At 36.3% G+C, this 22,239-nt stretch overlaps 1 annotated feature.

The window, feature by feature from the left end:
• Nucleotides 10,278-10,779: an enhancer, noted in NCBI's record as "OCT4 hESC enhancer chr13:19101768-19102269 (GRCh37/hg19 assembly coordinates)". NCBI's record gives its function as "activates a minimal SCP1, AML or CMV promoter by ChIP-STARR-seq in primed H9 embryonic stem cells {active_cell/tissue: H9 hESC(primed)}" and the evidence as "EXISTENCE:reporter gene assay evidence [ECO:0000049][PMID:30033119]".

Genomic DNA, 22,239 nt, shown 5'->3' with positions numbered 1-22,239 from the left:
CATATTTTCTCTTGTTTTCTCAAACTCTTCATAACTCTTAGGTCAAATTTCATGCACTATATAGTTCCCTTCCTTTTGTATCACCTTTATGTAGCTAAGATTATAGTAAGTTCTTAACAAGAATTTATAGATTTATCGGTCAAATTATTAACCTTTCAACAAGAAGACCAAAGCCAATGTAATATTTTTAAAAGTAGGGATTAAGAAAATTACCTTTGGTATTATCCTTAAAGAGAGTTTTAGTCCTTATTTTCCAATACATACACTCAACTATACCTCCCATTTTGTAAGAAAACCAGCTGCATTTGGGAACATTTCTTAAATTGTTGAAGTCTTAACATTGATACATTTAACTATTTACTTACAATCTTTTTGAATATTATAGAGGATATTCACTAAAGATAACTAAAGAGATTGTACTCCACATGTCAGATGAATGGCTTTAAAGCCTTAGTCACTAGAATTCGCCAGGATTTTTGCTTAAAGTGCAAACTTCTCAGTTAGTTCCAAGTCCAGAGATTCTGATTTAACAGGCATAGAACAGGACCTGGGAATCTGCATTTTAAATAAACTCAAGGTCCATCTTAAATGCACTCAGAAATAAGTGATTTTACTACTTGAGAAATGTAACTTGAGGAGTTTAAAATCTGTGAAATCTGTGATAAAAATTAATTATGTGGCTGGGCATGATGGCTCATGCCCGTAATTCCAACACTTTGGGAGGCCAAGGCAGGCAGATCATAAGGTCAGGAGTTCAAGACCAGCATGGCCAATACGGTAAAACCCCGTCTTTACTAAAAATACAAAAAAATGTAACCAGATGTGGTGGCTGGTGCCAGCTACTTGGGAGGCTGAGGCAGGAGAATTGCTTGAACTGGGGAGGTGGAGGTTGCAGTGAGCCTAGATTGCACCACTGCACTGCAGCCTGGGTGACAGAGTGAGACTCCAGTTAAAAAAAAAATTTAATATGTGCTTTGGCACTTTAAAGAGAAGTAAATAAATGAGTCGTGTTTGGCTTCTATTCTGTCCGTCTCTGCTCATTTTCTTTCTTTCTTTATTCACCTTGGCTGGTCCGTGTATTTACATGTAACTTTCATGAAAACTCCATCCATCTTCATCAATACACATAATACATACTTTGCAAGGCCCTTTTTAGAAGCCCTATTCAAATATTTCTGAGCTGGATGAATCAGTCTGTGTTAGTCTGTTTTCATGCAAATAAAGACATACTTGACTGGGTCATTTATAAAGAACAAGTGATTTAGTGGACTCACAGTTTCACATGGCTGGGGAGGCCTCACAATCATGGCAGAAAGCAAAGGAGGAGCAAAGGCATGTCTTAGATGGCAGCAGGCAAAAGAGCTTGTGCAGGAGAACTCCCATTATGAAACCAACAGAGACTTATTCATTAACATGAGAACAGTATGGGGGAGACCGCCCCCATGATTCAATTATCTCCACCTGGCCCTGCCCTTGACATATTGGGATTATTACAATTCAAGGTGAGCTTTGGGTGGGGACACAGCCAGACCATATCACAGTCTCATAATCTCTTTTGTAGTGATAAAAATCACAAATTTGAACCATTCATGATATTTTCTTCTACTATAATTTATGAAAGATTTATGGAAGATTTACTTATTTCATTTTGTATCTCCTCCACCTTCACTATTGCAATGGATTAAATGGTTGTTTTTCTCCCCCCCACCCAAATTCATATGTCAAAATCCTAACCCACAATGTATGGTACTAGGAGGTGGGGTCTTTGGGAGCTAATTACATCATGAGACTGGAGCCCATGTGAATGAGATTAGCACCCTTATAAAAAAGACCCCAGAGAACTCTCTTGCTCTTTTTCTATTGTGTGAGGATGTAAAGAAAAGACGGCAGTCTGCAAGTCAGAAGAGGGTCCTCACAAGAATTCATCCATGCTGGCACTCTAATCTCATATTTCTGAACTCAAGGTCTGTGTGAAATAAATTTCTGTTGTTTATAAACCCATCCAGCTTACAAAGTGCCTAGTGTATGGTACTTTGCTCTGGCAGCCCAAACTAAAACAACTATATTTTTAAGAAAAAAAAATATGCATGCACATACATCTATAAAAGTCTTCCACCTGATAACTCTGAAATAACTTTTACTTTAATGGTATTCATATAAGAAAGAAATGTATGAAGCCAAAATAAATCTCAAAATTAAGGGGAAATATTACTTAGCAAAATGCATGTTTGCTTTGCCAAAGCCTGAAACTTTTTTCTTTTTAAGCAAATTGAAAATCTCAAAGATTTCAACATTTTTTATTACTTATCCCAGCAAAATCATTCAGACCGCTTATTTTTAAAATTAAATAGTCACTGATTTATTTCACTTTTATGCAGTTAAGATAGGAAGTGGAGGTCAATTGGAAAATAGAATTACAGGAATAGGACCATCATGAAATGATTTTTTAATTTATTACCATTCAGAGCATCTATACTTGTTTGTCACACATTCAGAAGAATGGAAGAAAGGAGGGTAGAGAATGAGTCATATGCATTGAAAATTATTATTCAGTTTTAAAATGAGTGCCCAAAACTATAGACACTGTAAGACCCTGAATTTGAATATTTTACATTTCATTCTTCTATTAAAATTCATTTCATTGAGAACAAAAAGAAAACAAGAAAAAATAAGAAGATAAGCATCTTCAGAGAAACAACTATAGCCCGAAACCAAAAACTGAGAAGCAAACCTTCCAAATACTGTTATATTTCAACAAAAACAAGGAGTGATCAGAGTGAGTGCTTTCACATGTATAATCAGTACATGTTCAGGATGGTCATTTTTTCCAGATATCATTGCCGCTACTCTGGGAGATGTAACTCAAAAACTATTTTTCTTAAAATTGTTAGATTTTATGGAATAATGTGACCATGATATTAATAAAAGTAGGAAAGTCACTATAGAGTAACTCAGTGTTGTCTAACCATAAAATGGAAAGAATTTGAAGTTGTAAGAGAATTCAGGCTGATGTACTCTGTTCATTTCATATACTCTGAGTTCCAAACAGAATGAAGCTCACAGAAGTGGAAAGGAGCAAAAGAGAAAAGAATTAACCAGCATGTGATAATATAGAGATTAGAAATGCAGATTTAGAAACCTAGGAATCTAAATCTGAGCCACATTACCTTTAGAAAAGTGAATGCTGATAGGAGGAGAAACAATTATCCAGTACTTAGGGAGTAAGAAAATTAGTGTGAAGGTATTCCATTACAAAAACATGGATTTAAAAAAAGATACAAACTGCAATGCCACCCCACTCCTGCCCCAGAGGATCCCTTAGCTAATACTGGATATGTTCTACGAGGAATGCAGAGAGAAAAAAATCAGTAAAATATATATGCCTGGTGTTCTATTTTCTAAATATGAAAATGAACAAAAAGCATAAACAAGATGCAGTTACTAAAACTACATCACAAGTAGAATTACCAAAGTAATCAGAGAACAAATTGAAGTTAACTTAATCTCAATTTAGAAATTGAAGTGAACAACTAAGGAATTATGTAAGAAATACATAGGCACTATACATCAGCAATTACATCCAGAAAAATAGTGAATATCTAGAAGAAACCATACAAAAGTAAATTATATGAAAAGACAAAGGCATAATAAAAATCCTTAATATGGTGTTGGTAAATATAGATGCATGACAATGGAGACTCAACCTCTGCCTACTTGATGTTTTGAAGAATAAGAAAGAACATTAACATTGGAAACATTACTTGTTGAAAACTTCAAAGAGATAAAATGACACTTGAATCTATAGATTAAAATAGCATTCTGTTTTTTAGACAAAAATATAGAGATACTGATCATCACTAAGACTGACTTTGATTCACTTACTAGATTTGAAGAATAAAGCAATAGGATAATTGTCATCTGGGCAGTTAAACAAGTCTCTGAGAATTCAACTGTTGCTGATGAAGAATTAATGATTACCAGAATTATGCAACTTTTGTAAACGTTTAGAAATCCAGAACAAGTATATAAACTGTTTTCATTGCATGAAAAAAATAGGCAGCACAAAACTGTGATTTCTGAGAGAAAGAAAACAATATATACCCTTTATAGTACCAGCATACTTACTGAAAGTGATTTCCAGCCTCCAGCATGGTATGAGACAATCCGAGAGAGAATATCATGATTTGCTGAATTTAAGAGCAAGATATCAAAGTTTATGGAGGCCAAGGTGACTAGAATCATTAAGGCAGACTGACAGAGAGAAGAGGGCTGCACAGAGAGAGAACTGTGGAGATTTACGTAGAGGTTCTCTGGAGTCCTTGAGTGAGAACCGAACTGTGCCTACATAAAGTAAAACTCCATGAGATAGAAAAATGAGTCTTCATTAGCAATGGGCCAGAGAAATTCCTGGAGGTCATATGGGCCTTAGAAGAACCAGTATGTGCTCCAGCCAGAGTGAGAAACTTATAACATCAGATAGAGTTCTCAGAATAATCACACCTTAGTAGGGGGGTGAATCAGCTCTAGAGTCAAGGCTCTGAAGCCATTATAATCACATTTAAAAGTAAACAATATCACCACTGATCTCAGATAACTGCATTTGAAAACAAAGTTCATCTCTCTTTAAATAAAACGAAATCCAGATCCTAACAATGTAGAATTCAGAATTTCCCTTAGACATTAAAAAAATAACAGAAATGCATATAAACAACAAAATTCATCCAAAACAAGAAAAAAAAATTAACAGAAACAGACCAAGAAAAGACAGAAATTATGGGATTAGAAAATATTAAGCAGCTTAACAACACACATAATTGAAATCCCAGGAAATGGGGGGAGGGCAAAAACTATTTGTAAAGGCAGTGGTTGAGATATTTTTAAAACTTGGTAAAACTATAAACCAACAGGTAAAAGAAGCGCAGTGGAATCAAAGCAAAATGAATAAAAAGATTAAGTTGAAGAAAGTTGTTTTTAAAAAGAAAACTTAAAAACAGTTGGAGAAAGAGATGTATTATTGACAATGGAACCAATGTAATAACTACTTTTTATGATAAGCATGTATATCAGAAGACAGTAGCGCAACATTCTATTACTTAAAGCAAGAGAAACAAGTCAACCTGGAAATTCATTCATGTGAAAATTCTAAAAAAATCAAGAAATTTACAAAAATGAAAGCAAATAAAGCTATTTTGACAATAAGTAGCTGATAGATTTTATCAACAGCATACTGGTACTGAAAGAAATGGTAGACAAAAAGAAAGTAACAGGATGAAAATTTACTTTTTTATTATTATACTTTAAGTTTTAGGTTACATGTGCACAACTTGCAGGTTTGTTACATATGTATACATGTGCCATGTTGCTGTGCTGCACCCATTAACTCATCATTTAACATTAGGTATATCTCCTAATGCTATCCCTCCCCCCTCCCCCCTCCCCCCACCCCACAACAGGCCCCGGTGTGTGATGTTCCCCTTCCTGTGTCCATGTGTTCTCATTGTTCAATTCCCACCTATGAGTGAGAACATGCAGTGTTTGGTTTTTTGTCCTTGTGATAGTTTGCTGAGAATGATGGTTTCCAGCTTCATCCATGTCCCTATACAGGACATGAACTCATCGTTTTTTATGGCTGCATAGTATTCCATGGTGTCTATGTGCCACATTTTCTTAATCCAGTCTATCATTGTTGGACATGGGGGAAAGGATTCCTATTTAATAAATGGTGCTGGGATAATTTACATTTTTAAAAAGAAATGACTCATGTTAGAAATAATACATAGGGCTGTGCATGGTGGCTCACACCTGTAATTTCAGCACTTTGGGAGTCCAAGGTGGGCAGATCACAAGGTCAGAAGTTGGAGACCAGCCTGACCAACATGGTCAAACCCTGTCTCTACTAAAAATACAAAAATTAGCTGGGTGTGGTGGCTACTCGGGAGGCTGAGGCAGGAGAATCGCTTGAACCCAGGAAGTGGAGGTTGCAGTGAGCCATGATCACACCACTGCACTTCAGCCTGGGCAACAGAGCAAGACTCCGTCTCAAAAAAAAAAAAAAAGGAAAAAGAAACAATACATACAAAAGACGTTTTTTCATGTTTTAAGTAATGTTAAAGGTAATGGATTATTTAAAACCAAAATAACAATTATTTCTGTGGCATTCAAAATATATATAAAGAAAGGAGGAAAACCCTATGACAGTAGGGCAAAGAACTGTAGAGAGAAAATGGATAGACAGTTATAATATTTGTTTTTTTATTTGAACATTTATTTTAAATTTATGGAATACATGTACAGGTTTGTTACATGGATATATTGCGTGATGCTGAGGTTGGTGGTACGGTTGAGCCCATCTCCCGGGTACTGAGCATAGTACCTAACAGACAGTTTTTCAACCCCGGCCTCCCTCCCTCCCTTCCTTTCCCTCTAGCAGTGTCCAGTTTCTATTGTTGCCGTTTTTATGTCCATGAGTACCCCGTGTTTAACTCCCATTTACACGTGAGAACATGTGATATTTGATTTTCTGTTTCTGCATTAATTCACTTAAGATAATGGCCGCAAGTTGCATCCATGTTGCTGCAAATAGATGGTTTTGTTCTTTATTATGGCTGTGTAGTATTCCATAGTGTATATGTACCATATTCTCTTTATCCAATCCACTGCCGATGGGCACTTAGGTTGATTCCATATCTTTGCTATTGGGAACAGTGCTACAATGAACATACAAGTGCATGTGTCTTTTTGGTAGAATAGTTTATTTTCTTATGGATATATAACCAGAAATGGGATTATTAAGTCAAATGGTCGTTCTGTTTTAAGCTCTTTGAGAAATCTCCAAACTACTTTCCCCATTGGCTGAACTAATTTACCTTCCCACCAACAGTGTATAAACATTCCCCTTCTTCTATAGCCTTGGCAGGAACTTTTCAATAAAAAATATCATTAAACGTTTTTGGAGTTTTTATTAATAGCCATTCTGGCTAGTGTGAGATGATATCTCATCTTGGTTTTGATTTACATTTCTCTGAGATTAGTGATTACGAGCATTTTTTCATGTTTATTAGCCACTTGTATGCCTTCTTTTGAGAAGTATCTGTTCATGGTTTTGCTCATTTTTAAAATTAAGTTATTTGTTTTTTGCTTGTTTAATTGTTTAAGTTCCTTATAGATTCCAGATATGAGACTTTTATTGAACACATTGTTTGTGAATATTTTTGCCCATGCTGTGGGGTGTTTGCTTATGCTGTTGATAGTTTCTTTTACTGTGCAGAAGCTCTTTAGTTTAATTAGGTCCCGCGTGTCGATTTTTGTTTTGTTGAAATTGCTTTCGAGGACTTAGTCATAAATTCTTTCCCAAGGCTGATTTTCAGAATGGTGTTTCCTAGCATTACTTCTAGGATTCTTATAGTTTGAGGTCTTACATTTCAGGATTATAGGTTGCTGGGTTTTAGTATCATGGTAATGCTGGCTTCAGAATTGCAATATTTTAAAACTATATAGCAGGTATTATAAATATTATTTGAAGGTTGAGTGTTTTAAGTTAAAAAAATGTACAGATGGTACTCTTTATGCACATCAGTGTGGGGCCTTAGTAACCACTGTGCAAGTTGAAACTGGGCAAAGTTATCTTAATAATTAATGGAAAAACATAAACTTTTTCCTGCAATCATTAAAAACCCTTGTCAGTCAGTTGCAGTGGCTCACACCGGTAATTCCAGCACTTTGGGAGGCCAAGGTGGGCAGATCACTTGAGCCCAGGAGTTTGAGACAAGTTTGGGCAACATGACGGAACCCTGTCTCTACAAAAACTACAAAAAATTAGCCAGGAGTGGTGATACGTACATATAGTCCCAGCTATCCAGGAAGCTGAGGTGGGAGGATCACCTCAGCCTGGTGGTCGAGGCTACAGTGAGCCTTTTTGATACCACTGCACTCCAGCCTGGACAACAGTGAGATCTTGTCTCTAAATAAAAGAATAAATAAATAAACACATTTGTCAAAATATTAAAAATGTCTTACTGTTGGTTATATATGCATAGAAAAGTAAAAACCAAAAAAAAACCCTAAAACTAGTATTTATATAGTACACTATAATTTAAAACACTGATAATTAAAATACATGTTTTATATATTTCTTTGAAATGTATTCAGAGTAGTTTGTACAGTATTTGCACAACTTCTCATCATGTGACTCTCAATATTTTTTATGCTTTGGTGAATTGCCATACTTCTTTATAAATTCGATTATTTGTCCAACATTTTATTGTTTGTGCGTTCATTGTCTTTAAACATCTTGGAGAATTTCTTCAATGTAATTTTTTTTCTCAGCATCACATCTTCTGGGAAAACTTTTGTCTTTTCCCTGCAATCAGCTTCTTCATTTAAGTTGTAAATATGTCTTCCGTAAGTTCCCCTGACTGCACATATGAAATCTCTTGGATGGTAGTTGTGTCAGCATTCTCGCAATTAACTATTTCTTCTATAAATCCATCAAGATCCAATCTGAATTTCACTTTCGGTGTTGACACTTTCATTTATTTGCCACACTTTCATTTTTGTTGGCTGATTTTCTGTCGTTTATCAATTTTTGTATAATGTCATGCCTTTATCACTGAAAGACAAAGAAGCAACACTACTGGATGCTTTCCTGTCTCTGTATGAATACAAAACAGATATATAGTAATTGATTATTGATAGATATTGAGAAAAGTGACATGACTGATCATGGATCTTGATGCAAATCTGATATTTACCTAATAGTTTTATGGACTGAAGAGTTAACAGAAAAAAATTGTACTTCAATCCGTTAGTCCCAATTAATACACTCCTGTACCTAAACTGTTTTGTTTTGGGGCTTGTGCTATGTAACTAAAGCATGATAACTAAAGCCTTTGCATATCAAAACTAAGGAAAACAAGAACTGTCTATTTTATGAGCCCTATATCAATCATTAAAATTAAAACAAAATGGAATGGTTAAAAGTTAATAGTGGAGATAAAAGCGGATCTTAAAAACTAAATTCTCAATTCAAAAGAAGGCAGAAAAAGGGGGAAAATGAACAGAAATGATGAGATATTTAGAAAACATATAGCAAGAGAGTAGTTACACACCCAATCATATTGATAATTACATTAAATATAAATTGACAAAATATTCTTATTAAAAGGCAGAGATCATAAGACAGGATTAAAAACACTGACTCAACTATATGCTCTTTATAAGAAACTTATTTGAACCAAAAAAAAAAAAAAAGAAAAACAAACAAACCAAAACCCACTAAAACTGTGATGAGCAAAGTAGACATCAGAACAGGAAATATCACTGGGGATGAAGAATAACATTTCATAATGACAAAGGGGAAAATACTCCAAGAAGACATGTAAATAATAAATATGTATGCACACAATAGCATTACTTCAAAATACATACTATAAAACCTATTAAAACTGAAAGGTAAAATAGTAAAACCACAGTCATCCATGGGGATTTCCACAGTCTCCTGCCAGAAATTTTTAAAATTTGTTAAACAAAAAATTGGTAAGGGTAGAGAGGATCTTAAAAATATAATTAGCCAACTTGATCTAATTGAATCTTTTAGAATAATCTAAGGATGAGGGATGAGGTAGCAGAGAAAGAAAAGGCAGACATCAACATGACATTAGTGTTTCAAGGCTATGAGAATACACCAATAATGGTGTGTGTGTGTGTGTGTGTGTAGATGGTAAGCTCAATCTTAAAAATGTTGAGTTTTAACTGACAATTCATTATTACGAAAGATAAGAGGAGATGATATCTAGGGAGAGGCTATATGACTGAACTCTAAGAGAAAGGTCACAGCAGAAATTGTGTACTTGACAGCTCTATAAGGTCAGTCAAAAATAAGTCAGTGATGAATTCTCTGGTGTAAAAGCAGAGGAATGAGGATTAGATTTAAAACACATGGAAGCACAGTGACTTATGATAAAAACATGAGCTTGAAAATCCTGCAGACAGGGCTTTAAATCCTGGGTATGATATTCTGCTTGTGTAGGCAATAGTGATAAAAACACAACAACAAAGAGAGGTAAAGAGCATTTTCCTTTGATATAAGTAAAGAGCACGACTTATTGCCCATATATATATAGGTATTCAACTGAGATTCAACATGTTTCTCTCATTGAAACAGCAAGCTCTCCAGGTCTTCATGTTCCCAGTGAGGTAGGTACTCTTCTGATGATTATACTCAGCCTCCCTCATTGCAAAGCTCCCATTGTTATTGTCTTGGCTCTGGATTCCCTCAAAAATAGATGATGAAACAAATATCTGGGGTCAGATACTTTAATCAGAAATTGAGTGAGAAAGCACAGAAGTGGAGAAAATGAAACAGAATACGAAGCCAGTGTGAATGAGTAGTTACTGCTATTGTGCTCAGTAATGATGGAGGTATGGAGATTGTCTCAAAATAACTTTACAAAGAGATGGGGATGCTGGAATCCCCATCTCTTATTGCTTAAGGATTGCCTTAGAATCATTAACTCTCCACCCCTAACTCCTTCTTTGTTCCTATGTGTGGTTGAGAAGCACTGGTTAGCCTCAAGAAGCTTGCAGGCAGGCCCAAAAATCAGAAAGACAGGCATGATGTGGGGAGCTCTCAGTTAGCTGGAAACAGGTGAATTTCAGGTGAACACATTGAGTCCAGGAGATAGAAGACAAGTCATCAACAATATCTGCTATGGCCAGTTTTCTGTTTCTTTTTAAGAATGTATATACTTTTTACTGGGTGTCCCCAAGTCCCCCTTTGGTTTAATGATTCACATAACTCAAGAAAGCTGATTTTTTTTTGTGGTTATAGTTTCTAACAGTGAAAGAAACCAGATTAAAATAATCAGAAGCATAAAAGCACATAAAGTTGAGTCCAGGACAAACCAGATGTGAGCTTACAGGTGTCCTTTCATAGTGGGGACTTCACACTGACTAATTTTCTTTACAATGGTGTGAGACAACATGTGTGAACTTGTTGCCAACTAGGGAAGCTCAGTCAGTCTTGAGTCCAGGGTTTTCATTAGGATTCCACCACATATGCATCGAGCGTCCTGTGACTGAACTTAGCTACTTAGTTCCCAACCTCCCTATGCCCTAAGAGAGGTCATATTAGTATGGCATTACACAAAGTCATAGGCATACAGAAACAGGTGCTCACAAGAAATCACGTTGTTAGCATCAGCTATTTGGTAGGACCTACGTTTTCAGGTATACAAAGACTCTCATCAGGCAGTATATACCAAGGGCTCATAGGTTATCATCTCCCAGGAGCTTGTCGAGGGCCAGTCCTGAAGACCTTTGGAATGCACAAGGTTTTGGAAAGCCATGTCTTGCTTTCTTTTTTCTCCCTTCCTGCCTTTGTCCCTTCCTCCCTCCCTTCCTTTTCTCATTTCCTCCTTCTTTTCTTTCTTCTTTCTTTCTTTCCTTCCTTCCTTCTTTCCTTGCTTCTTTTTTCTTTCTTTTCTTTTCTTTCTTTCTCTTTACTACAATTCATATTATTTTAAAAAATTAAGAGAGGGAGGCAGAAAAATAAAGAACACTTTAATCTGCAGGTAAATAGATTATGTCTGGTGTAGACAAAAGAATGGCCTCCCAAAAATGTTCATGTCCTAATTCCCAGAGTCTAACATACAAATATGTTAGGTTGCATGGCAGTGGGAAATTAGATTTCAAGTGAAATTAAGGTTGCAATAAAATGATGGAGAGATTATCTTAATTGGGTGGGATCAATGAAATCACAAGCTTCCTTATAAGTGAAAGAAGAAGGCAGAAGAAAGGCAACCATGGAGGTGGTGGCATGAGAAATTACTCAATATCACTGACTTTTAAGATACAAGAATGAGGACCCAGTGCGGTGGCTCACGCCTAATCCCAGCACTTTGGGAGGCCGGGGTGGGTGGATCATGAGGTCAGGAGATCGAGACCATCCTGGCTAACATGGTGAAACCCCATCCCTACTAAAAATACAAAAAATTAACTGGGCATGGTGGCACATGCCTGTAGTCCAAGCTACTCAGGAAGCTGAAGCAGGAGAATCGCTTGAACCCGGGAGGCAGAGGTTGCAGTGAGCTGAGATCATGCCAATGCACTCCAGCCTGGGCGACAGAAGGAGACTCCATCTCAAAAAAAAAAAAAGATATAAGAATGAGGTCATGTTCCAAGGAATAAAGGTGGCCTCTGGATGCTGAAAAAAATCAAGTACATAGATTCTGCCACAGAGCCCTCAGAAAGACTGCAGCCCTGCCCAAAACTTGATGTTAGCCCTGTGAGTCTCATTTAAGGCTTCTGAGCTCCAGTACTGTAGGATTACCAGTCACTTTATTGTAAGATATGAAGTTTGTGGTAATTGGTTACAGCAGCAAGAGGAAGTTTATATAGTAATTGTATCATGAAAATCAGAACCATAATTTACAACTGCTTTTAATACTGCACTTGGATGTTTGAAATCACGTACATGGAAATGATCACTATGTGTATGAGGGAGGATAGCAAATTAATACCAAAATAACGCAAATGCAAATCTTACACTCATTTCTATGTAGGTTTCATTTAATCTTTGAAATTAAAAGGAAATTAAAGGATTATGATATTTTGATGAAATTAGACTAAAATGAACAATAACAAAATAAGAACTTATATTCTTTATGTAGTCAATAAAGAAGTGATAGTAGAAAAAACAAGGTCAAATGAAGGTGATGATTTAGGAAGTTGGAAAGATAGCTTAAACTACAAAAAGGTATATAACTAGTGAACACTTAGACACACTGATTTATGAACTTCAGCTTTTGGCTTGGTGACAGCATAAAATGAGAGCAGCTGAGGTTTGTAAATTTGTAATCTCCTTGTGGAGAAACAGGGGAAAACACATCTCAGCCTAATAAGATTTATCTACTAAAGAGTCAAGACTTGATCCATTTGTCCTTATAATTCAAAAGCTAATTCAAATACTGATTTGATGTATTCTGTGAACAACCATTGCTGATTATCATTGCATACCTGGCATTCTCTTTTATCTGATATCTAAAATATTTGCTAATTCCTGGACTTTCTCTTTTCATACCCAGTGCGGTTTAATTACAATCTTAGAACAGTTGTCTTTGAGAAATTCTTCCGTCTACTGCATCTGTGAATGGGCATAGCATGGTTACGTACATACTGTCACCCCAGAGAACATTTGTTAAACTAAAGCCAAAGTTTAAAGCAACAGCTTTAACTCACTGGTTTTACTAATGTTTTCCTCCCCAATAGCCACAACAATATTGATACCCTCACACTTTTTAACATAAAGCTTGGTGTTGTCTATTTTTCAGGTGCTGTTATCTATATGATGTCAGTATTTTAAAAATCAGCTTCCAGCCCATATGGTGGCTCATGCTTGTAATACCAGCCGTTGAAGAGGCTGAAATGAGAGGATTCTTTGAGTCCAGGAGTTCAAGAGCAACCTGGGCAACATAGCAAGACCCAGCCTCTATCAAAAGTTAAAAAAAAAAAAAAAAAAGGTGGGCATGGTGATGTGCACCTCTTGTCCTAGCTATTTGGGAGGCCAAGGTGGAAGGATTGCTTGAGCTTGGGAGTTTGAGGCTGCAGTGAGCAGTGATTGCACCACTGCACTCCAGCCTGGGCAACAAAGCAAGACCCTATCTCAAAAAAATATATATAATAAAAATAAAAATCAGCTGTCATTGAGTTCTACATAAATAGGCACAGGTGATGTCCATATAGACATAAATAATAATATATCTGACAATGGGTCCATATGATCTTCAAAATGTAAAATGCCTATCTGTATAATTGACTGGTTAGTCTCATTAATGAATATAGATTCAATTCTACTTTCTTGTTCTAGATAAATTACATAATCTAGCTTTTCATTTCACTTATTTACTGATAACAACAGGAGGAATGACAAGATACCTGTTTTGGAAAATTACTGTCGTAGGAGTAAAGGTGAAACAATGAAAGAATTACATGGAAAACTAGAAAAAAGTATGGTCTTCTGATATTCTATTACATCGTATACTAAAGGCCTCATAAAACTCAGATATTTTATCTAAAAATATTATTTTCATCTTAGGAATGATCAAAGCATGAGACTAGAATTGTATTACGATGACTCTCACAAGCACATGTGCTAAAAAGGAGGGGAAAACATCATTACTGATATTTTAAACGTATGTTTTACTTTCAATCAACATGAACCTCAACTTGATATGATGCAGATTGAAGGAAATCACCCATAATTCCATATGAAGAAGGCCTGTGATATTTTATGGGAAAATAAATATAGAGAAAATGCTAACAGAAACCCTATTAAGCATTAAGCTTTATGGAGCAAAGACAAATCCAGTGGTGAAAGATACACACTCGAGTTCTGTTTGTTGTCTTGGAACAATACGGTTTAGAGGTGACTGGTGGGTGAGGAGAACATATGTGAGTTCACCAAACAGAAAAGCTGAATGAGGCAATGCCTCTTCCTGATCATATCTCTTACTCAGATAACTATATAATTTATTGTCCAGTAAAGGGTATATTTAAAAATCATATTAAAATCATGCAATGAAGTTGTCCAGGGAAATCAAGACTTAACAGTCTCACTCTGACAATAATGAATAAGGGGGTTCCCTCAAGATAGACTAGGACATGACCCCACACTGGCAGGCAGTAGTACCAGAAAAGAAACTATGGAAAATCTTTACCTTATGCTTGAGGTAGGGACCAGGCTAAAGTGAAAGCCAGACATAAAATTCTACCTAAAATATATCCACAATCGAAGAAAATATGTGGTGTACAGGCATAGAATGTCTTTACTGGATCATTGAAATAGTAAGATAAATTCAAATTTTTACATTGTTTTATTTTCCTCCAGTTAGGGCTTGAGGTTTGTCTCTGGAGAGTAACTGTCAATTGGAGCCCTGCCTTTCTTGGGTTCTGAGCAGGGGGTTGTGGATGCTTAACATGTGCCTTTCACAGGGCACTTCCTTACCCCAGCAGTGGCCAGGTGTGCATCCCACGACCAGGCCTCCCTCTCACAGAACATCTGTTGAGACTAGGAGATGCCTGGTGGCTGTTGCCTGACCTGTGTCCTGTGTATTTCTGACAAGAGCCACTCTTAGAGACCCTGGCCAGGAGGAGAGTTAGGTTCCAGTGTAGGTCAGATCAGACACATGGAGGCCACAGGACAAAACATGGGAAATCACAGAAGTAGTTTTATTACAGATCCAGAGAGAAGAGGGTAGCTGAGAAGAGGGTTTAGCTGTGTCCCCAGCCAAATCTCATCTTGAATTCCCACATGTTGTGGGAGGGAACAGGTGGGAGGAAATTGAATCATGGGGGCAGGTCTTTCCCATGCTGTTCTTTTGATAGTGAATAAGTCTCACAAGATCTGATGGTTTTATAAAGGGGAGTTTCCCTGCACAAGCTCTCTTGTCTTGTCTGCTGCCACGTGAGACGTGCCTTTCACCTTCCACCATGATTGTGAGGCCTACCCAGCCATGTAGAACTGTGCGTCTATTAAACCTCTTTGTTCTGGAAATTACCCAGTCTTGGGCATGTCTTGACCAGCAGTGTGAAAATGGACTAATACAGTAGCACAACTCATAGGGCTGAACAAAATGGGGAAGATGAGTGGGGAGCAAGAGACAGAAAAGGGGTCTGTGGGACTCCAGCCTTTATTGGGCCCAGAACATTACCCAAATAAGTTTTCCACGGGGCTCTGGTCAGTGGGGTGAGTGCCAGCAGGCACATTTCTTGGCTGCAGCTGCAACTGAGCAGGTCACTCTGGCGTGTGGGGGCTGTCCATGTGGGCTGTGAGGTCTGTGGGGTGAGTCAGGTAGGTTGTATCCAATGGTTCCACAGTGGCTAGTCACCAGGAGGAGGCAGCTGTGTAGGATCAATATCTGGGCCAGCCACACTGAGGAACTGTGAGGGTTAGAACTGGAAATTGTCAAGGGAATCTGAACCCAGCTACCATATAAGAGAGTTCAACTTACGTTCAATGTGAATGCCATGGCAATATTAAAAGGTAAGAATTCGCTCCATATGTGCTTGAGGTAAATAGGAGAAACCTAGAATTTATGTAAACAGTGAGAAGATTGGATGCGTTTTCCATCATATATTTTAATACTAGCAGCATATTATATATGTCAATCCATCAGGCATTCAAAAGTACATGCTTATGAAAATTTTTTGCACCATCAGACAAAAGACAAGGGTAGAAGACATTTGTAACCCTATAAACACTAGTAAATTAAAAACAGAAGGACCTTTATGTCCTAATATATGTTGTGAAAGGCTGCCCTGTGAAATATGGGATATCTTAAACATATTTTAAAAATCATAGGTGTCAATATTTTTTAGAAATCCATTTAAATTTTCTCTTGCTTTTTTACAATTCCTATTTATTTATTTAGTGGTTCTGCTGATTTTGATGTATATCCTAAACTTTACATTTTCTTTAAAGAATGTTTTATACAACTTTATGTAAAATGTTTCAGTATCTTCACATTCTCTCCCTGTCCTTTTGTTTTGCTCTTATATGGTGGCCTTGAGTCTTTTCTCTGGCTTTTCAAACCTAGTAAGACTAAGAAACCAAAGTAACTTTGCCCGTGGTTTGGTAATGCCTTCTAAAGCACATCCTAAGCTCTCATGCATACAGGGGTCTCCTTTGAGCTCTATGCTTTTGAGATCCCATATACCTAAATTCCATTACTCCAAATCAGTACTGCTCAGTTTTAGTTACTGAGTTTAAAAATGTATTTTATTTTATTTTATTTTATTTTTTGTAAAATATATTTATTTATTGGACATTATCATTGTATTTCTAGTCACTAAACATTCTGTAACATTCTTTTTTAAATATTTTTATTTTTAATTTTTTTTATTATACTTTAAGTTTTAGGGTATATGTGCACATTGTGCAGGTTAGTTACATATGTATACATGTGCCATGCTGGTGCACTGCACCCACTAACGTCATCTAGCATTAGGTATATCTCCCAATGCTATCCCTCCCCCATACCCCCACCCCACAACAGTCCCCAGAGTGTGATATTCCCCTTCCTGTGTCCATGTGATCTCATTGTTCAATTCCCACCTATGAGTGAGAATATGCTGTGTTTGGTTTTTTGTTCTTGTGATAGTTTACTGAGAATGATGATTTCCAATTTCATCCATGTCACTACAAAGGACATGAACTCATCATTTTTTATGGCTGCATAGTATTCCATGGTGTATATGTGCCACATTTTCTTAATCCAGTCTATCATTGTTGGACATTTGGATTGGTTTCAAGTCTTTGCTATTGTGAATAATGCCACAATAAACATACATGCACATGTGTCTTTATAGCAGCATGATTTATAGTCCTTTGGGTATGTACCCAGTAATGGGATGGCTGGGTCAAATGGTATTTCTAGTTCTAGATCCCTGAGGAATCGCCACACTGACTTCCACAATGGTTGAACTAGTTTACAGTCCCACCAACAGTGTAAAATTGTTCCTATTTCTCCACATCCTCTCCAGCACCTGTTGTTTCCTGACTTTTTAATGATTGCCATTCTAACTGGTGTGAGATGGTATCTCATTGTGGTTTTGATTTGCATTTCTCTGATGGCCAGTGATGATGAGCATTTTTTCATGTGTTTTTTGGCTGCATAAATGTCTTCTTTTGAGAAGTGTCTGTCCATGTCCTTTGCCCACTTTTTGATGGGGTTGTTTGTTTTTTTCTTGTAAATTTGTTTGAGTTCTTTGTGGATTCTGGATATCAGCCCTTTGTCAGATGAGTAGGTTGTGAAACTTTTCTCCCATTTTGTAGGTTGCCTGTTCACTCTGATGGTAGTTTCTTTTGCTGTGAAGAAGCTCTTTAGTTTAATTAGATCCCATTTGTCAATTTTGTCTTTTGTTGCCATTGCTTTTGGTGTTTTAGACATGAAGTCCTTGCCCATGCCTATGTCCTGAATGGTAATGCCTAGGTTTTCTTCTAGGGTTTTTATGGTTTTAGGTCTAACTTTTAAGTCTTTAATCCATCTTGAATTGATTTTTGTATAAGGTGTAAGGATGGGATCCAGTTTCAGCTTTCTACATATGGCTAGCCAGTTTTCCCAGCACCATTGATTAAACAGGGAATCTTTCCCTGTTGCTTGTTTTTGTCAGGTTTGTCAAAGATCAGATAGTTGTAGATATGCAGCATTATTTCTGAGGGCTCTGTTCTGTTCCATTGATCTATATCTCTGTTTTGGTAGCAGTACCATGCTGTTTTGGTTACTGTAGCCTTGTAGTATAGTTTGAAGTCAGGTACTGTGATGCCTCCAGCTTTGTTCTTTTGGCTTAGGATTGACTTGGCAATGGGGGCTCTTTTTTGGTTCCATATGAACTTTAAAGTAGTTTTTTCCAGTTCTGTGAGGAAAGTCACTGGTAGCTTGATGGGGATGGCATTGAATCTGTAAATTACCTCGGGCAGTGTGGCCATTTTCATGATATTGATTCTTCCTACCCATGAGCATGGAATGTTCTTCCATTTGTTTGTATCCTCTTTTATTTCCTTGAGCAGTGGTTTGTAATTCTCCTTGAAGAGGTCCTTCACATCCCTTGTAAGTTGGATTCCTAGGTATTTTATTCTCTTTGAAGCAATTGTGAATGGGAGTTCACTCATGATTTGGCTCTCTGTTTGTCTGTTGTTGCTGTATAAGAATGCTTGTGATTTTTGTACATTGATTTTGTATCCTGAGACTTTGCTGAAGTTGCTTATCAGCTTAAGGAGATTTTGGGCTGAGACAATGGGGTTTTCTAGATATACAATCATGTCGTCTGCAAACAGGGACAATTTGACTTATCCTAAATATATATGTACCCAATACAGGAGCACCAAGATTGATAAAGCAAGTCCTGAGCGACCTACAAAGAGACTTAGACTCCCACACATTAATAATGGGAGACTTTAACACCCCACTGTCAATGTTAGAGAGATCAACAAGACAGAAAGTCAACAAGGATACCCAGGAATTGAACTCAGCTCTGCACCAAGTGGACCTAATAGACATCTACAGAACTCTCCACCCCAAATCAACAGATTATACATTCTTCTCAGCACCACACCACACCTATTCGAAAATTGACCACATACTTGGAAGTAAAGCTCTCCTCAGCAAATGTAAAAGAAAAGAAATTATAACAAACTATCTCTCAGACCACAGTGCAATCAAACTAGAACTCAGGATTAAGAATCTTACTCAAAACCGCTCAACTACATGGAAACTGAACAACCTGCTCCTGAATGACTACTGGGTACATAACGAAATGAAGGCAGAAATAAAGATGTTCTTTGAAACCAATGAGAACAAAGACACAACATACCAAAATCTCTGGGACGCATTCAAAGCAGTGTGTAGAGGGAAATTTATAGCACTAAATGCCCACAAGAGAAAGCAGGAAAGATCTAAAATTGACACCCTAACATCACAATTAAAAGAACTAGAAAAGCAAGAGCAAACACATTCAAAAGCAAGCAGAAGGCAAGAAATAATTAAAATCAGAGCAGAACTGAAGGAAATAGAGACACAAAAAACCCTTCAAAAAATTAATGAATCCAGGAGCTGGTTTTTTGAAAGGTTCAACAAAATTGATAGACCGCTAGCAAGACTAATAAAGAAAAAAAGAGAGAAGAATCAAATAGACGCAATAAAAAATCACAAAGGGGATATCACCACTGATCCCACAGAAATACAAACTACCATCAGAGAATACTACAAAAAACTCTACGCAAATAAACTAGAAAATCTAGAAGAAATGGATAAATTCCTCGACACATACACCCTCCCAAGACTAAACCAGGAAGAAGTTGAATCTCTGAATAGACCAATAACAGGATCTGAAATTGTGGGAATAATCAATAGCTTACCAACAAAAAAGAGTCCAGGACCAGATGGATTCACAGCCGAATTCTACCAGAGGTACAAGGAGGAACTGGTACCATTCCTTCTGAAACTATTCCAATCAATAGAAAAAGAGAGAATACTCCCTAACTCTTTTTACGAGGCCAGCATCATTCTGATATGAAAGCCAGGCAGAGACACAACAAAAAAAGAATTTTAGACCAATATCCTTGATGAACATTGATGCAAAATCCTCAATAAAATACTGGCAAAACGAATCCAGCAGCACATCAAAAAGCTTATTCAGCATGATCAAGTGGGCTTCATCCCTGGGATGCAAGGCTGGTTCAATATATGCAAATGAATAAATGTACTCCAGCATATAAACAGTGCCAAAGACAAAAACCACATGATTATCTCAATAGATGCAGAAAAAGCCTTTGACAAAATTCAACAACCCTTCATGCTAAAAACTCTTAATAAATTAGGTATTGATGGGACGTATTTCAAAATAATAAGAGCTATCTATGACAAACCCACAGCCAATATCATACTGAATGGGCAAAAACTGGAAGCATTCCCTTTGAAAACTGGCACAAGACAGGGATGCCCTCTCTCACCACTCCTATTCAACATAGTGTTGGAAGTTCTGGCCAGGGCAATCAGGCAGGAGAAGGAAATAAAAGGTATTCAATTAGGAAAAATGTATTTTAATAGCAAGTTAGTTTAGTGCACTCTTACTTCTTTTTTTACTGCTGGTATACACGTATATTCCTTTAAATAAATCTTGGAATTTGTTTAAAAATTTTAAATTATACTAATGAAACTGTATATTGTTGTGGATTCATAGGTGAATTTGGAAAGAATTTGTCTTTATGATACTAAATCCTTTTTATCCAAGAATCATATGTGCCTTTATATTTATTCCAGTCTATATTTATATCACTGACTAAATATATAGAAAGGTAGATACATACAGCTGTAGTTATAGATAGATACAAATATAGATATAACATGTTAAATCTATATCTATCCCATATAACATATATGCATGTTATATGTGTGTGTGTATATATATATATATATATATATATATATATATATATATATATGTTTGTGTTATTAAAGAGCTCCCTTAAAATTTTTCTTTTATTTCCTATATAATTTTAGGTTGAGCTTGAATTTTCCTTGTAAAAACAAGCAAATATTTATACTAGTTGTAATACTGACGTTTAGACATTCTATCTTATTTTAGCATTGAATATTTTCACAATTATTATAAATATTATCTAATATTAATAATGTAACTTAAAAATATTTAAAATTATACCTTTGAATTATTTTATTGTTGAATTTAAATTCCTTTAAGTATGATAGTAAATTTATATTTTATGCTTTCTCTATGCATATGCAAATTAATCTATCCACTTCTCTACCTCTATGTAGTAACATATGAAAATCAGGCCTCTGTTCTTCTAATGGACATACACATGTTTGCATATAGAATATCAGACTCTTTATAGCATTTAAAATCTTTAAAGACATGAATATGACCTTTTAACAAATATATTTTAGCATGTACTGAGAATCCCCTATTTATTTTTTATTTGGGCTAACCAATATATTATTAATATTATTGGATTACCAAATTTGGAATCACACTTTCATCCCCAAGGTGGATATTTGTTTTATTTTTTTGCCAATTTCTTCTCTTACTGTTTCAAATATTGTTGGATATTATTTTTATTTTATTTGGCATTTTAGTATCAATATTTGTGAGTGATGTACTCTACATATTTTTTCTTCAATATCTGGTGGGTTTTATAATTACTGCTATATTGGATTTGTAGTAGATATTGAGAAAAATTATTCCTGCATGTTTTATAGCTGTATGAAGGAAACTAATATATTTTACCCCAAAATATATTTCCTTGAAATATTTCAAAATGGCTATTGAGAAGGGCTGGAAATGCAAACTTAGCTGCAAAGCTGTCTTGGGGAGATTCGCATCGGTAGAGAATCTGCCTTGATGCAGCCAGGCTTTCTCTGAGGTCTGCCCCCTTATCTGGATCTAGGAAAGGTTAACTGAGTGTCGGAGGTCTCCAAAGGTCTGAAAGAAACATTTTCTGTCTATTCTATCTGAGGACTGCTCCCAGTGAGGTTTCACCTACGTAATAAGTCCACTGTTTCTAGGCAGGGTACTTTTCCCACATAACCTTTTTTTCTTTTTTTTCCCTGTGATCCAAGACCCCATTCTTTCTGTAAACTTCATGTGGTAGATAAGCTTCTGCACCCATCGTGTGTCTGGGTCTTCATTGTAAGGGCTCCAGTGTACACACATTGCAGAAACCTG

Source organism: Homo sapiens, chromosome 13 (genome assembly GCF_000001405.40).
Source record: "Homo sapiens chromosome 13, GRCh38.p14 Primary Assembly".
In the NCBI taxonomy this organism is placed as follows: domain Eukaryota; kingdom Metazoa; phylum Chordata; class Mammalia; order Primates; family Hominidae; genus Homo; species Homo sapiens.
Note: the sequence above shows the minus strand (reverse complement) of the source record. Positions and strands in the feature narration are given on the sequence as shown.